At 33.5% G+C, this 19,219-nt stretch overlaps 1 long non-coding RNA gene across 3 annotated transcripts in view; it reads right to left on the minus strand.

Moving 5' to 3' along the window:
• Positions 1-1,548: 1,548 nt before the first annotated feature.
• Positions 1,549-19,219, minus strand: part of LOC105370343 (uncharacterized) — a 37,659-nt gene continuing 19,988 nt past the window's right edge. For 2 of the 3 annotated variants that reach the window (XR_931694.3, XR_931693.3), the window contains exon 4: positions 17,163-17,236. This is a non-coding gene — a long non-coding RNA (uncharacterized LOC105370343). Of the gene's footprint in view, positions 1,585-17,162; positions 17,237-19,219 lie in introns of those variants that run through there. The other variant, XR_001749998.1, reaches the window with a different exon arrangement.

The raw sequence follows: 19,219 nt of genomic DNA on the forward strand, positions 1-19,219 counted from the left end.
GTTGAGTGGATCTTGCAGGACAAGAAGTTGCCCTGGGTGAATAGAGTGAGTGAGTGCTGAGTGAATGTGAAGGCCTAGGATGTTGCTATGCACTACTGTAGGCATTATAAACACCTTACACTACAGGTACACTAAGATATTTGATATCTATGTCCCCACCCAAATCTCATCTTGAATTCCCAGGTGATGTGGGAGGGACCACCTGGCGAGGTAATTGAATCATGGGGGCAGGTGTTTCCCATGCTGTTCTCATGACAGTGAATAAGTCTCACAAGATCTGATGGTTTTACAAAGGGGAGTTTCCCTGCACAACCTCTCTCTCTTTGCCTGCTGCCATCCATGTAAGATGTGACTTGCTCCTCCTTGCCTCCTGCCATGATTATGAGGCCTCCCCAGCCACGTGGAACTGTAAGTCCATTAAACCTCTCTTTGTTTTGTAAATTGTCCAGTCTCAGATATGTCTTTATCAGCAGCATGAAAACAGACTAATAACATATTGAAAATATTTTTTCTTCAATAATAAATTACCCTTAGCTTACTGTAACTACTTTACTTTATAAACTTAGTTTTTTTTAACATTTTTACTCTTTTGTAATAACACTTAGCTTAAAACACAAACACATTATATACCAGTACAATAATATTTTCTTTCTTTATATCCTTATTCTATAAGCTTTTTTCTTATTTTTAATTTTTTTACCTTTTAAATTTTTTATGAAAAATTAAGACACAGACACACTCATTAGCCTAGGCCTACACAAGGTCAAGATAATCATTTTCACTGTCTTCCACCTTCATAGCTTGTCCCACTGGAAATTCTACCCTATCATCAGGCTATAGAAATGGTTCACCCTGAGACCATTGTCCTATTGGCTGTCCAGTTTTTACTGAAACATCTCCCTTTGGTGTCCACCCAACTCCCAGGCTATCATGTTTAGATTTTGTTTTAGATTATTACACATAGTCTTTCTTTTTGTTAAAAATTTTCTCTTGTTTTTATTCTTTGTTACCGAGGATTTTTTCTTTTTTTTTTTTTTTTTTGAGGCGGAGTCTCTCTCTTTTGCCCAGGCTGGAGTGCAGTGGCGCGATCTCGGCTCACTGCAAGCTCCGCCTCCCGGGTTCACGCCATTCTCCTGCCTCAGCCTCCCGAGTAGCTGGGACTACAGGCGCCCGCCACCACGCCCGGAGAATTTTTTGTATTTTTAGTGGAGACGGGGTTTCACCGTGTTAGCCAGGATGGTCTCAATCTCCTGACCTCGTGATCCACACGCCTCGGCCTCCCAAAGTGCTGGGATTACAGGCGTGAACCACCGCGCCCGGCCCAGGATTTTTAAAGACCGTGTATCAGTGGTTGTTCAGCCTGTCTCTATCCAAACCTTTTCTCTCCTTCCTCAGGGCTATTCAGGTTAAGACCACATTCACCACTATCTTTCCGGGCTAAGTGTGACCACGTGATTAAATATCAGCCAACCCTATAATTAGAAGGGCAACCTTGTTAAAATCAACTTCTGACCTGGATTTCCACTGTTTCATTTTGGTGTCTGGAAATGATGACAGCCAGACCAACCATGAAAGCCTGGAACCCTAGAAGAATGTGTAGAAAAAAGAAACATCTTATTATTATGAACATTTTTTACGTTTAAGAGAACAGCATTATCTTTATTATACTAATCAATAAAAAAAACTTCCCTTTGCTTCAAAGAGTGCAACACTGTCTCTATCTTCCAAGGCTTTTTGCTGTAAAAACATTCTGAAAAAGTAATCTCAACAAAGATGATCATTGCCTCTGCTCTATAACATGTGCAGAAATGAGAGATGCCAATTTTCTACCCTCCAGATTTCTCCACATCATTCTTACATATAGACAGTAAAATAAATGTGTTTAGTCTCAAAACAAATTGAGAATCTAGTATACCTTGCCAAAATTATTATATTAATTAGGAAACAATAGATTTAAAAATATATTTTTGCCATCAAGGGCAACGATATTCTATAACTTTTTCCAGAGTCCTTTACAATTATTTCCACTAGAAAATTTTAAAACACCCCCTGACACACACACACATTATGGTAATCAATAGTAAATATACTGATTGAATTTTGAGGTTAGTTTGGTGATGTGCTAAGTGTTAGTCAGTCAGGACTTTGTAGAGAGCTAACAGTTTTCTCATCACTGACTTAGTGAGTACTCTGGCTTCAAGCTGTTTATCTCATTCTAAAATAAAATGTAAAGATATAAGATTCCTGAAACTTGGAAATATCTATGATTAAAAGTCATAAAAGTCAAAGTCAAATGTTTAAGAGATGTAAAAAAATGAAGTATATAATTATTTACCTATTGAGAGAGAGCGAAAAAAAGAGAGATATGGCCGAAAAAATATCCCTAATATAGTAGTAAATGAAAATAAGTTGCAAAGGTAGAATTATATTTTTTGTTAAAATAAAAAAATTAAATACATATATACTTGCATGTGACTTTACAAAATAAAAAGTGCTTTCTTTAATAAAAAATTTAGCTGAATTAGGAACAGTATTATATAATTAGGTTGCTACTTTAATAATCAGTAATAGTAAAAGTACACATTTGAAATATTCTTACTATGAAGAATATAACAATTTGTTTAACAATTATCAAATACACAAATTACTCATGCTCAAATATAGCTCAAAATATTTTTGTCATATTCAAAAATACTAAATGTAATTTTTTAATATCAACATTTCTTTTGTTTATTAGAAGAAAGCAAATGGCTAGTATACTGGGGGGGAAAATCCCTGTAGTCTTTCTTTGGATAAAAGATTTAAGTTCCTCATACATTTTGATGGACTAGTGATATTAGCAACCAAAGTAGCACTGCTCTAGAAAATGGATAAATGGATGACTACAGTTGGAGCAAATGAAAATGATTTTGCCAGAGGCAAAATACAACATGTTTCCAACAACAGTCATAGTTCCACCAGGGCCATTGGTGAAACTCCATGGTATTATTATATAAGTTGTTTTTACTACAATGACATATGTTAAGCACTTACAAAATGCTTACCCTTAATTGGAATGAGTTTAGCCTGAAGACAGAATATAATTTATTTAATGTTCTTTCACTTGTCACAATTAAATAAATACATTGACTAAATATGTGATAATTTGTAATCCCTTCCTTTTGAGTTCTTTGTAAGGTACATAATACTTCAGGGTTTTGATAATATAGACATTACATCTATTGAATTTTTCCCTCTTCATAATTTTTATTCAAGAGAGTATTTATAATGATAACTAACTAATAATAAATAAACAATGTAAACAAATCTACTGTGAAAACCACATTGACTTTCTAAAATTTAGCCTGGGCATCCATTTGAAATTTCTATGTCATCAGAGATCTGGTTTTTCACAGTACAAAAAAAAACAAACAACAAACACTCTCTCCTTTTCACAATTCTCTTTATTTCCAAAAGTATTTTGTTTCTCTTCCACATTCAATTTATATTCTAGAGAAGCGAGGCTAGAGGGAGAGCTTGTTTGTTTGCAATGCACTGTACTGTTGACGGATAATTTCTTTTATATTGTAGTTGTCATTTTTTTGTTTATTCATTTGGGAAAATAATCTAGGGAAAAAAGTAAGCTTGTCATTCCAATATTCAAAGTTTGTGGTATTTAAAATTTGTTCATGTAAATATATCAACCAAATTTAAAGAGAATAAAGAAGAAACATGCATTTTGTAAAAGGAGCTTAAATGTAATATATGTATATTTTAAAACAGTTTCATATTGGGAAGTATAACTCTATGGACCTTTGGTTTTCGAACAATGTATTGGTTAAGACACCACTTGGGCTTTTCAGTAATGAATTAGCTGAATGCTTCCACGGATACATTCAACTATTTTGTCCACCTTGGCTACTGCTTCCAGACTAACAAATTTATAAGAAATTTAATTAGTAAGCAGAGTAGTTTTGTGTATTATAATTAGTTTATACTAGTCTTTAAATATATTCAGTTCCTACTAAATGAACTGCTCTTTATTAGTGGCATATCACTAACTACTACTATAAAACTTACAAGTAATGCTGATATGTTTAAGAACAGAAAGCCAAATCGAGAGTGAACTCCCATTCACAATTACTTCAAAGAGAATAAAATACCTAGGAATCCAACTTACAAGGGATGTGAAGGACTTCATCAAGGAGAACTACAAACCACTGTTCAATGAAATAAAAGAGGACACAAACAAATGGAAGAACATTCCATGCTCATGGGTAGGAAGAATTAATATCATGAAAATGGCCATACTGCCCAAGGTAATTTATAGATTCAATGCCTTCCCCATCAAGCTACCAATGATTTTCTTCCCAGAATTGGAAAAAACTACTTTAAAGTTTGTATGGAACCAAAAAAGAGCCCTCATTGCCAAGAGAATCCTAAGCCAAAAGAACAAAGCTGAAGGCATCACACTACCTGACTTCAAACTATACTACAAGACTACAGTAACCAAAACAGCATGATACTGGTACCAAAACAGAGATATCGACTAATGGAATGGAATAGAGCCCTAAGAAATAATACCACACATCTGCAACCATCTAATCTTTGACAAACCTGACAAAAACAAGAAATGGGGAAAGGATCCCCTATTTAATAAACTGTACTGGGAAAACTGGCTAGCCATATGTAGAAAGCTGAAACTGGATCCCTTCCTTACACATTATACAAAATTAGTTCAAGACGGATTAAAGACTTAAATGTTAGACCTAAAACCATAAAAACCCCAGAAGAAAACCTAGGCAATACCATTCAGGACATAGGCATGGGCAAGGACTTCATGACTAAAACACCAAAAGCAACGGCAACAAAAGCCAAAATTGACAAATGGGATCTAATTAAACTAAAGAGCTTCTGCACAGCAAAAGAAACTACCATCAGAGTGAACAGGCAACCTACAGAATGGGAGAAAATTTTTACAATCTACCCATCTGACAAAGTGCTAATATCCAGAATCTAGCAAACTTAAACAAATTTACAAGAAAAAAATCAAACTGCCCCGTCAAAAAGTGGGCGAACGATATGAACAGACACTTCTCGAAAGAAGACATTTATGCAGCCAACAGACACATGAAAAAATGCTCATCATCACTGGCCATCAGAGAAATGCAAATCCAAACTACAGAGAGATACCATCTCACACCAGTTAGAATGGTGATCATTAGAAAGTCAGGAAACAACAGGTGCTGGAGAGGATGTGGAGAAATAGGAACACTTTTACACTGTTGGTGGGGCTGTAAACTAGTTCAACCATTGTGGAAGTCAGTGTGGCGATTCCTCAGGGATCTAGAACTAGAAATACCATTTGACTCAGCCATCTCATTACTGGGTATATACCCAAAGGACTATAAATCATGCTGCTATAAAGACACATGCACACGTATGTTTATTGCAGCACTATTCACAACAGCAAAGACTTGGAACCAACCCAAATGTCCATCAATGATAGACTGGATTAAGAAAATGTGGCACATATACACCATGGAATACTATGCAGCCATAAAAAAGGAAGAGTTCATGTCCTTTGTAGGAACATGGATGAAGCTGGAAACCATCATTCTGAACAAACTATCACAAGGACAGAAAACCAAGCACCGCGTGTTCTCACTCAAAGGTAGGAATTGAACAATGAGAACACTTGGTCACAGGGTGGGGAACATCACACACTGGGGCCTGTTATGGGGTGGGAGGAGGAGGGAGGGATAGCATTAGGAGACATACCTAATGTAAATGATGAGTTAATGGGTGCAGCACATCAACATGTCACATGTATATATATACAACAAACCTGCACGTTGTGCAGATGTACCCTAGAACTTAAAGTATAATAAAAAAATTTTTGTCTTTCTAATGCTTTCTAGATATAGCATCGAGAATACTTTTGTATCAAATAAAGTGAAAAGAAAAGAGTCTTAAAAATATTAATAAAAGTGAAAAAATAATGAAGTAAAAATGAGGAAAATGAGTCTCACATTTCCAAATATAGGGTTCATCTATATCTACAGGCATAGCCTCAACTGGAATCAACACAGTCTTGCACTTCAAGTGATCTGGTAGGCTCTTGAGTTTCCAAAGATATCCTGATTTGCTTTAGATTATTTCTATGTAAAGTTTTTAAAATAAGTTAAATCAGCTTAAAAGTGAATGTATTTTGATTTTAAAGTTCATAAATCAAACAAATATTTCTTGCGATTCATTATTTTTATGTGCTAATTTGAAAATTAGAAAATAATAGGTATAATGTATTTAGATTTTACATGTCTTACTGTGAACTAAAAGTTTGACTTTAGATCCTTTTAATTTTCTTTTCTTTTTCAGAGCAAGCTGAATTGAAACAACTTTGTCTTTGTGAAACCCCACACAATTATCCATCTTGCCTTGAGATTAATTAGAGAAGTATGGTATTTGACAATGAGAATTTTCCTATCAATTTTTATATTTTCTATTAAAATTTTGGAAAGGTAGTGTAATAGTGACTCACTTAGAAATGTAGTCATTAATTTACACTTTTCATTTAACAGATCAAAACACATACTGCCTTATTTTCTGAGAATGTGGGAGGCTCTGGCCCTCAAGGAAGTTCTAACCATGGGATGGGACATAAATTCTGATTGTGTAAAAGTCATCTTTTACACAACAGGCTGTAGTTAGTATTTACTATTTCGTAATATCTCTTGGAACTGTAAGGCATGCAGTGACAATTTAATCTGGCCGGTGGTGTGGGGTTAATCCATCAACTCAACAGTCTTATCAATGTAAATCCTCAGTTGCTAATTTTCAAACTAGTGCTTACAATATAATATTTTCAAACTAGTGCTTACAATGTAATGAATCACAAGAAATATTTATTATTTTTATGGACTTTAAGCTGATTTACCTTAATCACTTTTAAGCTGATTTACCTTATTTTAAAAACTTTACGTAAATATAATCTACAATAAATAAATATATCTCCAGAAATTGAAAAGCCTACCAGATTACTTGAAATCTAAGTATACATTGATTCTGGCTAATGTTATGCCTATAGATATAGATTAACCCTATATTTGGTTATTTATTAAATCAATTTATGATACCATAAATATCACACAGTTCTTGAGTGACAACAGTAGGACCCAAACTGAAGCCCTTCAAATAAGGAAGTGATACGTTTTGTTAAACAAAATATAAAAATTGTATTCTTTCCTCCATTTTCAATGGTTGATACTAGTCAATTTTATTGATTTCACTAAACTAAAGAAGAAAAAAATGCATTGTTTTTATTCCTTTAATCCTTCCAGTTTCTGCTTATATTCCAAGTATATTTCTCCTAATTCTCCACAGGGTTACTTTCAGATGTACATTTTCAGGCCCTGGTAATTACCGTTTTGGAATCCATACTTCTATTCATGCCTGGCATAAAAAAAAAAAATCCTGAAATGAGCCACAGCTTTTTCACTGAGTTATTTTAATAGACTACAGTTTTCATTTCTATAGGTGTAAAGCCTAAGGAATTGAAAGAAGAAGTATTCGCATTCTTCAGCCTGTCTTACATGTAGACGGTATGTGTCCGGGACTCGATATTTTCAAAATCTTCTCAGCAATGGTGTGCCGTAACTGGTTACTATAATTTTTAGGACATCTCATATAGAAAACATACTCTTAGATGTAAAGGGTTAGAGAGAAGGCCAAGACTTTTTAAATTTCAGTCAAGTTGGGTGCACATATGCACCTGTGTGTGCATTTACTGTGTCAATGAGAACACATGTCTAGTGAGTACCTTTAGTGAGAGAGGAAATATATATCTACGTGTATACACACACACACACATATATATATGCACACACGCATGCACATATGTATGTATATGTATACAAACACACACATATACTCACACACACACATATATATCCTTGTACTTTTTTAACAAAATTGCCTCAAATTTTTATTAGCAAGAAAACTATGTAGGAAATGTCTATGTTTTAAAGGATAAAAAAGACTGAAACCTATGTCTAAGGAAGCATAATATATATGAGTTTTTTTCTGTCATTAATGGAGATAGGTCTTTAAATATTACATTCTGGGGAACCATTTATATTTTCTATTTCGTTAGTGCAATGAAAAAAGAACAAGATCCTGATAGTTACATCACTTTATTTTCATGAGGCTCCCTAACTTAGCAAACCCTGCCTTTTAATGAGTAAGCATCGAGCAGACTGCTGGTCTGAAGGTGACCTAGGTTCTGGAGGAATTTCAAGGCTCCATTTCACGGGCAACTGGAGACCACAAAGATGGCCATGTTAACGTAATTGATATCCAACGGAGTAGGTATGTTCACGGCTTTTAGAAGGGTATTACTTGCTGTTAGACTGTAGAAGAATTCAGCCTGAGAGAGCAGAATGTTGTTATCGGGAGGTGCAGGCAGCCTGGATTTAAATGAGGTCCAAAAATAAATAAATAAACAAGGTCCAAAGCAGCCCAGATTCCTGAAGCCAATGCGTGGGTTCTTGTCATGTATATATTGTATCCTGTATTTTGTGTTTCAACACCCTCTGCAAACATCACATGCAGGCTGCATACATTGAGTCTGATTTCCCTTGCTGATTCTATTTCCTCTTGGTAGGAAGTCAGACACTTAGGGAGATATTTGTTTTTCATATGAGGCTACATCATATTGAAATGACTAAGACTATCAAGTCACATCAGAGCAAATCAGCAGAACGCAGAGGCTCTGGGAGTAAAGGTGAAGTATGGTAAAGATTAGGCTGTGCTCCTTTCTAATCTGATTTTTTTCACTCCATCCTTCTCTGTGTCTGGCATAGTGTACTGCTCAAGATTAAGGTTAAATAAATATGTTTTGAACTGATTGAATAGATATTAAATAAATCCATGTAGAATGAAGGAATGAATAAACACATGAATAAATCCTTCCTTCTGTGTGGATGCAACCCTGGAAATGATTATTTTGCTGCATAAAAAATAAAAGAACACGCTGAAGGAAAGATCTTATTGAACCTAGGATGGCTTCATATGTACAAGGTATAGAATAGAACAATTTTCCTTTCTGTCTGTCAAATTTCTATTCTATCTGTGTAGGTCTTATTGGGAAGCTAAGAAACTATCAATATAACTGTTGTTAAGTTGATAAACAGCATTATTAAAGTGTCGGTCTTGATATACATTCTAGTAAATAGTCTTACTAATGACTTGTAAGAAATAGTTGATTTATCAAATGGTGTTACTGTATTTATGAAAAAAATAAACACATAAAAATAATATTGAAAATGAGCTTTGGAAATTAAAAATATTCCTTTTCAAAATTAAATGAAGACAGTATTGGAAAACATTAGAAAAAACTGAAAAGTGCTACATTTGAGGATAAATATATCCCCAGTCACAAACTAATAGGAAAAGTGGTTGGCTAGAAATATAAGATCTCTGTGTCAAAAAATTTATGTCATCCCTGCTTGTATGAAAAATAAAGAAAAAATACAAAATAATAGCAGATTATATAAAACAAGAAAATGGTATTATAGTACCCAGTGGTGCTTATTTTCCACTTATGTAGAGTATTCTATGTTCGTCCTACAGAGAGATTACAGGAGGTCACAAACGATGAGGGAGGAAGCTCTGAGGCCAGGCCCAGACTTTGCTCACAGTTCCAACCTTACTAACTGTGAGGCCTCAGCCTTACTAAAATTTTCTGTGCCTCAGTTTCAATTTGTATGCAAGAAGAAATGTATTAGTACCTATGATATGGTTATAATAAAAATTTTATTATTTATTCCTAATAATAAGTAAAAATGTTTAGTATAGTGACTATGTGACATGGTTTGGCTGTGTCTCCACCCAAACCTCATCTTGAATTGTCATTCCCATAATCCCCACGTGTCATGGGAGGGACCAGGTGGAAGTAATTTAATTATGGGGTGGTTACCCTCATGCTGTTCTCCTGATAGTGAGTGAGTTCTCACAAGATCTGACGGTTTTATAAGGGGCCTTTCCCGCCTTTTACTTTCATTCTTCTCCTTGCTGCTGCCTTGTGAAAAGGACGTGTTTGCTTCCTCTTCTGCCATAATTGTAAGTTTCCTGAGGCCTCTCCAGCCCTGCAAAACTGTGAGTCAATTAAATCTCTTTCCTTTATAAATTACCCAGTCTTGAGTATGTCCTTATAGCATCATGTTAACAGACTAAAACACTAGGTTTAAAAAAATTAACAGTATATATTTTTATCATTTTAAAAGCATATAGGAAGACATTGATTATGAAAACTAAAATAGTTATTTGAGAAAATAGAAAACATAATTAGACTTATTGAAAATTGAACTGTTATATTAGAGGAAATATGAGTATCCAATTCTGAAACCAGTAATAAAAATCAGATTATTATTTTTAAGAGTATAATATTATATGATTTGATACTTTTTTAATTCTAAATATCTACCGCAGGACAAATTATGACTTGTCTTAGGTATTAATAACAACAGATTTGTGTTGTGTATACAGATAATATATAATTGATAGTCTGGTAAACATAATATAAACTTCACATTAAATTGCTGGAATATTTATAATTATAAAAATTAGAATTTCACATTTTCAAAAAATAATTTAACAATAGTAGTAATAATAATATCTAACACATATATAACAATTCTTATATGGCATGGACTCTTTTAAGCACCATATTTATGTCATCTGAATGACAAAATATTGATTTAATGATCTTTCTACTGAGTTCCACAATTTAGTTCATAGATTGTAATTTAGAATATTCAAAGGCTTCATGCAATTTCAAGGAAAATTGAACAGAATTACATATGGCTTACAGAAAATGCTCAAATAGGCTTCCGGGTACACATGCATAACAAATGCAAGCCTTATTGGGAATTAATAGTCTAAAGTAGGTGACATTGCTGTGGATTACATAGCCTTGAGAGCCCAAATAATTTCTTTCAGGTCAAGTCTTGTAGTAATTTGCACGGCTTCCTTCAAAGACTAATTATTTCAACACAAAACAAGATAGTTCAGAGCTAAAGTAATAGTTAACATATTGCTTAATTCTGGCTTGGACCCTTCTTAACACTTATGTCTTCTTTTTTAAAAGATTAGTAGACTGCCTGAAACAAATACATTTTCATGAGTTTTTTTTTCTCCCCAAAACTCTGGATTTTTAGAGTGTCCAAGACTAAAATCAACTATTTAGGAGATTTACAATATATAAAATAGCATTGTATAGAGAACTAATTGCTGGTTTTCTTGTAACTATGGTAGTGGGCACTCTGGCTTCAAGCTGTTTATCTCTTCCTGAAATAAAATGAAAAGATATAAAATTCCTGCAACTCAGAAAACCTATAGGATTGAATGCCAAATGACTCTTTTGACCCTCACTGGCACATATATTTTCTTCTTTATGTCATCGAACCTGACACATATCAGATTAATCACTCCATTTCTGGGAAACAAAATGCTTCTTATCCTTATTATGACATTTGAAATGCGGTAAGAAAAAGCTGAAAAGGTAAAGGAAAAAGAGCTGCTATTAATTTTGAAGGGAAATACATAATCATTACCATCATTTCTTTGGGTAGCATATAGTTAATAAATGATTTTCAGTACTTCTTGACTACAGGCATTCTCTATGTTAGATTAGGAAGAAGAAAAGAGGGAAGGATGGAGGAGGAGTGGGGAGGAAGAGGAAGTAGGAGTGGTAAAAAAGGGAAATGGTGAGAGAAAGCAGGAGGGAGGGAGAGAAAGAAAGAAAAGAGATAAAGAAAAGAAAGAAACAAGAAAAGAGAAAAAATGACAGGTTAAAGCAAGAATTCACCTAATGTATTTAACAACATATCATAGAACTTCTTTCCAGCCGTTTGCCATATTTTGGGAAACTCATTCTGAAATAATTTCAGCGTTTTTTGGTTCTTCCTTTCATTAATTCTTAACCGTCTGTTTCTTTTCTAGCAGTCAGATGTATATACTCAGATGAATGCTTCAGAAATTTAAATCATTCTTTGCATTATTTTTATCTGTTGAATTTTGAAGTGGGATTATAATTCTTATCATTTTGCTTCTTTAATCAATGGATTCTCGATTCTAAAGTTTCGATCCATATACAGAGGAAAACATGATTAAGTTTCTGTGCTGATGAGTTAGCTGTAGGCAGCCTTAAGGGCCTTGGAGAGCTACCTGAGTTCCAATAAACTGCTGGGTTTATCCTCTCCACTTTGTCCTGTTGTGACAAAGGCTCCTAAACCGGTGGCATTTGCTGTTGTCATCGATTTCTTTTTTGGTGAATTCTGAGTTTGGGAATAACACTCACCTTCTTCCTTGAAAAGCAATTATTTTATTATTTGGGTAGAAATGTATCTGCATGTAAGTATAGCATTTGTTTAATCAAGTAAACCTGAAAAGCACCACCTTCTTCAAATATAACCAAAGAGCTAATAAATCACTGCTGTCACCACTTATGAAAATATTAACTTAATAAGGGGCAGAGACCATACCCATATACATCTTATCTAATTATAAATACACATTTATGAACAAATATTATATGTGTACTATATTTTATTGATTCCTCAAACAGAAAATTATTTTTTTTCATAATTAATCACAAGAATCATGCTTTTCAATCTTCTACATGCATATGAATAATGTGGGGATCCGTTTAAAATACAGATGCTGTTTCAGTGGCTTTGGAGTGGGGCCAGAGAGTCTCTATTTTTAAAAAGCTACTTAGTAATATGGAAGCCACTGGTTTGTAGAACTATTTTTTAAGTAGCAAGGTGATAGAGTGCCCAAATGCATTGTTAATTGTTTTCCTTTTGAGGCTTCCGTTTTCTACAGTCATCTTTAAATGTATTTAGGCAAAAAGGGATTGCTTGTAGTGAAAGGCATAGAACTGCCTGGAAATGTGAATTCCTAGGGACCCTTACTTCTGCTTCATTCTGTCGTGTTGTTTTCTCTGAAGGCGACTCCTCCATGGTCCCGTGCCTGACTTCATGGATGGTTCAATGCTGCAGTTCGTCCAGTTCATGGACACTAGTGCATAGTTCTCTGAGTTTACACTCATGGACTTTCTCCAACGCAAAACATGATTCAAGGATAAATGAGTGGAGTAGAGCTGTCAGCCTTGGCTAGAGACTGTCCCCAAACTGCCCATACTCCCTCCCCTCCTAACACACAACCTAAAATTCTTAGTACCTTCTCTGAGCCCAGACCTTCAGTCCAAATAAACAAAATAATAATAACAACAACTTTAAGGGTCACTTAGGTCTCCCTCCTCCAGGAACCAGCTATGCTTACCGAGAGATTGAGGCAGGCTGGACTTCCTCAGAAGGAACTGATTGCCCAGGGTTTGTATAAAAAACACCACTCAACTCACCCTTCCACTTCACAGAAGATGATTTTTTTCCTCAGGTAACAATAAAAAAGAAAAATCCATTTGCGGAGGTTGTACTATCTTTCAGAGCGATTGATTGATTGTTCAAGTTGTATTTGTGTTACTCCTTACTGCGTAGATATTTATTCTTATTCTGTTCCTTACCAGCTAATACCATGAAAAGCTTACTTTTCTAAATATTTTTCCTGTGGACTATTAAATCTGGTATTTTATTCGTTTACTTTTTCATTATAAGTTGAGAGTGGCTGTTGAATTACAAGACTCTTTCTCTAATTTAAACCACATGGGAGCACTAAATGGGAAACATCCTAACAAACATAACAGCAACAAAACAACATGAGAAAGGCCGTAAAACTTCTCCCTTTGGAAAAACAGGGTTTATTTTTATACAGATCATGAGAGTGATTTATAACAAAACACAATGTATCAGTAATTGATAATATATAGAGATAAATTCTCATTGAACAGGAATGTAGACTTCTTGTACCATCTTTAAAGCATTCAAGCCCCTATTCAAGAGTTAAGAAAAACAAAAGTTGTTAAATGTAATGAAAATGCCTTGTCTGGTAGGCATATTTTTTAGTGTTCTTTCAAAAACAAAGCACATGTGAAAAAATGTAGGCAGTCTTTGTTTTATATGCATTGGTCATTAAATTTCTCATGCTGTAAATAGGAACCTGCCAAGGATGTTAGTTGAGCTGAATGGGTTCCAGATTTTTCTTTTGTTATTATTGCTTACTACTCTTTATCTTTAAAAATTTTTAATAAATCGATTTTTTATATCTGAGTCTATTTAGCTGTATTCTCGCCATGCAAAACTAGCACACACACAAATGCAGAAATAAAAACTTCATTGAAGTTCATTCTTTTACCTCTATTTTTGAGTCAGAAATGTCCTAACAATTAATAAAATAAGACTAGGGAAATGTTAGTATTCTAGCTTATGCAATGTTTATAAAAACACTAGTATTAGAATTAGTGACATGATATAGTTTCAGTGCTGAGAATATTAGACCCCTTTTTTGTTAGATTGAATAAGGGTTAATCATGGGGAGAAAACACACACAAACCCCAGCTGCATCACTAACAGATGAAGCATGTGCTTCTGAAGGAAGGTCTACAGCTGTGATCGATTCCAGCCGTTACTGGGATCCATAGGCTTAGGCACATACTAAAGATGGGATAAAAGGATTCCAAAATGTGTTGCTCCCTCTGATCATTAATCTGCTTGTTTAGTCATGAACATTTTGATATTTTACTATGGTTCTTTTTTTTTTTTTTTTTTTTTTTTTTACAGAACCTTCTCTTAATTCCTTGCAAACACAGAGGAAAATGTCAAGTGAATACAAAAGGAGTATTTTATTTTTTATATTGTCTGAAAGGAATGTTGCCAAGTTTGACGATTCAAATTGTTGTTCAAACTCTACTTTGAACAACAATTTACATTTAAACTCAGATTTACTAAGTACTGTCAACTATGGCAAATCTACGTGAATGGCCCAGTTATATTTCTTTGGAGTTAGATGATTTTCTTCCTAAATAACCTAGAAATATTTATATTTGTATTCTCCACCTCCTTGTTTTTTGGAGAGAGTACATTGAGTCTAGAAGATAAGTGAAGATTCTTTTCATCGACATTACATAGATGTAGTAAGATGTGTCTGACAAAAAGGAGGCAAAATGATATTTTAATTTTAAAAATGTAAGCATTTCATGGCAAACAAAAATACAAAAATATTCAGAATGCAGAAAGAAGTATAACATTGAATTTGACAATTGATTGTCTGGCAAATTGAAAATTATAAAAGGAAAAGCAATTAATAGAAAATCATAAAGGTCAAGCTTTATGAATTTTAATTCAATAAGATAAAAATGGAAAGCTCCTGTACAGCCTCAGTGCATAGTTAAAGGTGGGGGCTGGTCATTACATAAACACCTAGGAGAATTGTTTTGGCTTTGTTTCTAAGAATAAATCATGCAAGAACAAACCAGAAAACAGCTGTATCACGTATCACTTATTTAGTTTTATTTCTCTCTTACACTTCTTCCCAAGGGTGTTGTATTCCAAACAAAAACAAAATTGAAAGAGAAAAGTAAGTATGAAAAAAACGAGGGAAGAAATGTGAAAGAAAAGAAAAATGGTAGTGTGGTGTGAAGACATAAATTACATGAAGACATTCTATAGGTGACCTACAGTGATGTGGCAGATACTGATGCCTCAGATTAAAAGACATTAAAACTTAGTTTGAAAGGACTGCTGAAAATAAAAAAGTAGGACAAAATTGTGAAGCATGTTTTCTAACAAATTAGATGGAATTGGTAAAATAATACTGTGCACTAAAAGAGATACACAATTAGGAGGATAATCATATAGAGAGCTTTACTCTGAATGTGTTGGTTTAAAAAATCTTCCTGTCTTTACTATGATCAGGCATGTTAGATTAGAGCTTAATGCTCTAGGAAAGTATAAAATTAGAACTCAGCCAAATGGAGAAAGCAGAAGAATATAGAGAAGCTAGATGCTAGGGCAGAATGGAAGACAATACAGGTTCTTAAAAATAAAGTTTTAGAATAATGAAATAAATATTTGAATTATGTTTAAATTAAATATTAATTGGAAGAGAAACTACCTAGAATTGTAGAAATAAAAGCATAGTAAAGAGTCAAAATTTTAATGTACATGGGACTTAAAATTGGTTAATACTATTTTCTTTCATAATGGGGAGAAAATGATTTTACCTGCTTTTATATTTAATAATAAAACACTTATTAAAAATTGTATCCGTGATCAATAATTGGACTCCAAACATAATTGGGAACAAAATTTAAGATGGGACAAAAACCCCACAGTGGTCAAGATAAATAATATTTGATAAATATTTTAAATCTCAAAATTAGTACAAAATATTCATGGTAAACAGAATATCAACACAGACCAGTGTAAATACGTTATTTCTCCCTGGCTCTCACTTTCTTAAATATCACCTCTTTGAGCTCTATATAGAAAGTTCAGTTGATCTTTGTTGATTTTTACTGTTTGATTTTGTTTTTTTTTTTAATTTAAAAGCAAACTGAGATTGTTTTCTATGAATAATTTTGACAGGAAAGACTCTAATATCCTTATATTCAGTTTTTGAAAGCACAGAAAATGTGGAATCTGCTTTTTAACGTGATACCTATGCTGAACAATCTTCAGAAGACTGTTTTATTATCATGTAGTTGATAACACTCAGTCAGTACTGTATTAAATACATTCTGGAAAGAGGTTAGTGCATGGACATACAGGTGGTACACACACATGCACAGGTGGGCATGCATATGTAATTCCATTGTTAGAGTATTGCGTATGGCATTTTTTATAATGAATGTCTACATTTTACCAATAATTAATGTCCCAGTAATAAATGACATAACCTTGTAATTTTCATCATCAAAGAAATTACCACGTTTTGGTAGTAAGATTGATTAAATTTGGTGTTTCTCACTTTTTGCCCTAGAGAAATGAAATGAAGATATGATCAGTTCTTAAGTTTTACTATTCCTTATGACAAATATTATTGGAATGATATTATATATGTAAGAAAAAAAAGAAATCTATGCACAGCAAAGGCAAAGGAAGAACATGGGAATTTTTTTCAATTACATTCCCCATAGACTTGATTAAAATTGGACATTAAATGTTGGTGAAGGGAGATTTAATTGCTGTTGCTGTGAGTGTTATTAATCCAATATTATAGCAATGCAAATATTTGTCTATCAACATGAGTTCATTTTAATTGAAAAAGACCATAATGAGGCAGCAGTTCTTTTCTTCAACTGAAAGAGAAAAAAAACTAAAATTAGTATTGTGATGATAATGGTACTGAAAATACCACTCACTGGGATGACATATTTTCTTTCAATTATTGTTAGTAAAACTGGAGTAATAGTAAGATCCCTTCGTAAAAACAAACCATGGTTTATGTTTCATGTTAATCACTGAATTAAAGAAGTATTTGTATTGAAATGTAATGTGACTGTTTTTTCCAAGTTACTATAATTGATTAATGCAAACATATGCAATACCATTTGCCACTTTTATATGGATTACTTGAGAGTCGAATACAGCTACAATTAAGTTATTGACTGGATGATTAAAGAAAACCTAAACTATCAAGTGGTTTTAGTTGACAAGATAAATCTTCAACTAAGATAAAAATTCCACCACAAGATGAAGAGAGTTAATTCAAAAATTCAAAAGCAATTATTGATTTCCTTTTGATGCTAAGCACTGCAATAAGTCCTGAGTCTGAAAAGAGCAGTAAGTCTCTGCTTTTAAGGAATTCACAATTTCTCATTTGCTTTGTTACTGTATCCCATATCCCTCTACCAGGTTCTTTACCATCATTATTGCTTTTAAGGAAACTTTATTTTAGTTACTTTATTGAAGTTTTAAATTCAAGAACCCAGAGTTGGTGGCAAAGTGAAAGAGTATTAAGGGAGAATATTTACTTAATTAGGAGAAACAGAAATACTTTAGATCTGTTGTAAGAGACTCAGGAGTAGGAAAGAGCTGTATGTTGTGCTTTTCAATTATGTGTTTTAGAATTTTTCATGTTGCTTTGCATTGAATTGTTTTGATTTGATGCTTTGCAACCCCAGTGTTACTGGGGTACACAATGAATATTGTCTACTAACACATATATATGCAAGTATTCACCTCCATTGCTTCATTTTGGAGACTTTTTCAGAAGTAAATAGAATATGGATTCTTTACCCCAAACTAAAACTTACTGAAATAACTTTGAGAGTTGTAATAAAATTGGTTTCAGTGTTGACTTTCATCATGCATTATTCTAGCTCTCTCTTTCCTACAGGTAACACTCTGGTTTGAATATTGGAGTTACATTTTTCTAAAAAATTTTCATGTTCATTGTACTCAGGTAGAAGTTTTCTTGCTATTATAGCCTGAAAATCTATTTGACTTCTGCTTTTCTGGAAAAATGCTTGAAAAAGGTACATTCAAAGGTGACAAAGATTGCACAAGCAAGCATGGCTATTTTTTAAAAAGTGACAATTCTATAATATTTGATGAGAAATCAAATTAGGAATTGACTAGGTGAAATTGAAATAAATATTTGGGTAATATAGGAAAAATCTTCAAATAATGCTGACATTACCTATACTTAATTTCTATAGTTTGCTTCATTCTGTAGGCAAAGCAAATTATTATATTATTTGGAACACTCTGAGTAAATCTCAGTGACAGAAATCAGAGTATATAGAATAAATTATACTTATATATGTGGGTGTATATACATTTATGTATATGTATACACACACACACATAGTCATGCATAAGGACATATTTCAGTTAATGATGGACTGCATATTTAATAGTGGTTGCATACAATTATAATGGATCTGAAAAATTCCTGTGGTCTAATGATATAGTCATCATAAGATTATAACACAACACATTATTCATATGTTTGTGGTGATGTTGGTGTAAACAAACCTGCACTATCAGTCATATAAAAGTGCAGCATATACATTATATACAGTGCATAATCCTTGATAATGGTAACAAATGACTATATTACTGGTTTGTGTATTTACCATACTATATTTTTTACCATTATTTTAAAGTGTACCTTTTCCACTTAGGAGAAAATTGTTAACTGTAAAATAGCCTCGGGCAGGGAAGGGACCCAGAAGATAGCATTGCTATAGGAGATGACAGCTTCTTGTGTGCCATTACACCGGAAAACCTTCCAGGGGAACAAGATGTGGAGGCAGAAACAATAATGGTGATAATCC

The sequence above is a fragment of the Homo sapiens genome, chromosome 13 (assembly GCF_000001405.40).
Source record: "Homo sapiens chromosome 13, GRCh38.p14 Primary Assembly".
Taxonomy (NCBI): domain Eukaryota; kingdom Metazoa; phylum Chordata; class Mammalia; order Primates; family Hominidae; genus Homo; species Homo sapiens.